The sequence below is a fragment of the Homo sapiens genome, chromosome 4 (genome assembly GCF_000001405.40).
Source record: "Homo sapiens chromosome 4, GRCh38.p14 Primary Assembly".
In the NCBI taxonomy this organism is placed as follows: domain Eukaryota; kingdom Metazoa; phylum Chordata; class Mammalia; order Primates; family Hominidae; genus Homo; species Homo sapiens.
This window is the reverse complement of record NC_000004.12, coordinates 87,935,381-87,938,757: the sequence shown is the minus strand read 5'-3', so window position 1 is coordinate 87,938,757 and position 3,377 is coordinate 87,935,381. Positions and strand designations below refer to the sequence as shown.

The window sequence follows — 3,377 nt, the reverse complement described above, 5'->3', positions numbered from 1 at the left end:
ATGGGGATGCTGCTCCTAATATTTGCTGGAAAATCTGTCAGGCTGCCAGTTTTGAGTAGGGTCACACCAAGAAAAGCACAAAAGGCTCTTCAGCAAGTCTAGGCTGCTTCACTCTTATGATCTGTTAGACTCAAGGCACTAAACATTAGCTTCAGACAGAGATGTTATAGAGAGCTTCTGGCAGGCTTACAGGGCGAGACTCTCAGGTGTTTAGAATAAGACTTGGCCTCTTCTGACAACTATTCTTGACTTGAAAAACACCTTTTAGTTTGCTGCTGGGTGAGTCAAAGACTGAACACCTGACTTGAAAATAATAAAATATGCGTCATAAATTTAGACATGCACATATCATTCCAGTGTAAAATGAAAATGTTATATATGAGACAGGGCCAAGAAGGGTCTGGAGGCACAAATAAACTGCGTGAGTGAGTGGCTCAGACTTCCATGGTAGCTGCTGTTACTACTCTCTTGCTTTTCCCTTGGACAACTGCTCCAATTCGTTGAGGGAATTCTCTATGACCAGCTGAAGGAGAAGAAAGAATGGGCCTGGCTTATGGATGGATGGCATGTGGACCTCTAAGAGAAATGGATAGCTACTGCATTACAGCCCCACATGGGTGGCACTGAAAGATAGTGAGGAAAGAAAATGTTCTCAGGAGGCAGAATTTTGGGCAGTCTTTTGGGTGTCTATTTAATGTGGAAGGGGAGATAGCACAAAGGGTGAATTGGCCAGTGGTTAAGGAACTGGAAAGAACAAAATAAGAAGAGTGGTGACAAGGTCTGGGGAGATGTCTGTGATGGGCCTCTCAGCATGGGCACAGAGTGGGAAGATATTTGTATCCCATGTAAATGCCCATTAGAGGGCATCCAAGTGGTGAATGAGTGCTTTGAATAATTAAATGGATAAGATGATCTCTCTTAGGGATGTCAGTCTGCCTAATTCCCTAGCCATTTGTATGATTTGTCAATGGTGGTATACAAAATGAACATGGTGGCAGGAATGGAGGCTATGCATGGTCTCACCAATATGAGCTCAGTTTCACCATGACTGATTTGTCTACACCGTCACTGAGTATTCAATCTGCCTATAGCAATATGTACCTGAAATATGACACCATTCATGATATTCAGGTAAGTCTCCTGTGGAATGGCATATGTAGACTCATTTATGGAACCATATGGAGACAAATCTTGTGAGGACAAGGTGTTACAGTGTTCCATCTGCTATTCTACTACTCCTCAGGGATTATTCAGGCCCCCTCCTTTCCCTACACATCAAGCTCGAGGATTTGCCCCACCCAGGACTGACAAATTAGCTTTACTCAACATGTCCCGAGTCAGATAACTGAAATACCTCTTAGTCTAGGTAGATACTTTCACTGGATAGGTAGAGGCCTTTCCTACAGGGTCTGAGAAGGCCACCGCAGTCATTTCTTCCGTTCTGTCAGACATAATTCCTCAGTTTAGCCTTCCCACCTCAATACAGTCTGATAACAGACGAGCCTTTATTAGTCAAATCAGCCAAGCAGTTTTTCAGGCTCTTAGTATTCAGTGAAACCTTTATATCCCTTACGGTCCTCCGTCTTCAAGAAAAGTAGAATGGACTAAAGGTCTTTTAAAAACACACCTCACCAAGCTCAGCCACCAACTTAAAAAGGACTGGACAATACTTTTACCACTTTCCCTTCTCAGAATTCAGGCCTGTCCTCGGAATGCTACAGGATACAGCCCATTTAAGCTCCTGTATAGACGCTCCTTTTTATTAGGCCCCAGTCTCATTCCAGACACCAGACCAACTTAGACTGTGGCCCAAAAAACTTGTCATCCCTACTATCTTCTGTCTAGTCATACTCCTATTCAGCGTTCTCAACTACTCATACATGCCCTGCTCTTGTTTACACTGCCGGTTTACACTGTTTCTCCAAGCCACCACAGCTGATATCTCCTGGTGCTATCCCCAAACTGCCACTCTTAACTCTTGAAGTAAATAAATAATCTTTGCTGGCAGGACTATGCTGAATCTCCTTAGGCACTCTCTAATCAGATGTCCTGAGTCATCCCAATTCTTAAACCTTTTATGCCTGTTTTTCTCCTTCTGTTATTCCATTTAGTTTTTCAATTCGCACAAAACCGTATCCAGGCCATCACCAATCATTCTATACGACAAATGTTTCTTCTAACATCCCCACAATATCACCCCTTACCACAAGGCCTCCCTTCAGCTTAATCTCTCCCACTCTAGGTTCCCACGCCACCCCTAATCCCGCTTGAAGCAGCCCTGAGAAACATCGCCCATTCTCTCTCCATACCACCCCCCAAAAATTTTCGCTGCCCCAACACTTCGACACTATTTTGTTTTATTTTTCTTATTAATATAAGAAGGCAGGAATGTCAGGCCTCTGAGCCCAAGCCAAGCCATCGCATCCCCTGTGACTTGCACCTATACGCCCAGATGGCCTGAAGTAACTGAAGAATCACAAAAGAAGTGAATATGCCCTGCCCCACCTTAACTGATGACATTCCACCACAAAAGAAGTGTAAATGGCCGGTCCTTGCCTTAAGTGATGACATTACCTGTGAAAGTCCTTTTCCTGGCTCATCCTGGCTCGAAAACACCGCCACTGAGCACCTTGCGACCCCCACTCCTGCCCGCCAGAGAACAACCCCCCTTTGACTGTAATTTTCCTTTACCTACCCAAATCCTGTAAAACGGCCCCACCCCTATCTCCCTTCACTGACTCTCTTTTCGGACTCAGCCCACCTGCACCCAGGTGATTAAAAGCTTTATTGCTCACACAAAGCCTGTTTGGTGGTCTCTTCACACGGATGTGCATGAAACCTTAGTACCTTGAATCAAAAGCCACTGGCCTTGTTCAAATCCTAAGAATCCCTTCTGAATCTTTGTGCGCACAGTTACGGCTTCAACAAAATGAGAAACTGACATTTAATCTGACATTTATTCATTCATTCAACAAATATTTGTTGAACACTTGCCATTGTTACCAATGGCAGGTATCTGAGTTACCAGCGGTGAATCCAAACTGTAACACTATGAGCCAGGAATTGTTTTAGGTAGTTGTTATGCATCTGTGAACAAACAAAAAGATTCCTGCCCTCCTGGGGCATATTGAAATATAGAAAGTGAGTATGATATGAAAAGACTTTAGAGAACTCTGGAAATACCATGAATTAATGCCATGAATTGATGAGTTAGTAGAATCCAACATAACTGAAATATGAAATCTAAAAACTAATATATCTAATAATTTATAGGTCTGAACCTAAAAATCTATTAAGATATTTTTGAGGTAGGAATTTACTCTATGTTACTGCCACTTAAGGAGCTGCCAATAATTCTCACAAATAATCAAAAGAAT

General features: G+C 43.0%; 1 annotated feature.

Moving 5' to 3' along the window:
• Positions 2,106 to 2,927: an enhancer, noted in NCBI's record as "OCT4-NANOG-H3K27ac hESC enhancer chr4:88856983-88857804 (GRCh37/hg19 assembly coordinates)". NCBI's record gives its function as "activates a minimal SCP1, AML or CMV promoter by ChIP-STARR-seq in naive and primed H9 embryonic stem cells {active_cell/tissue: H9 hESC(naive and primed)}" and the evidence as "EXISTENCE:reporter gene assay evidence [ECO:0000049][PMID:30033119]".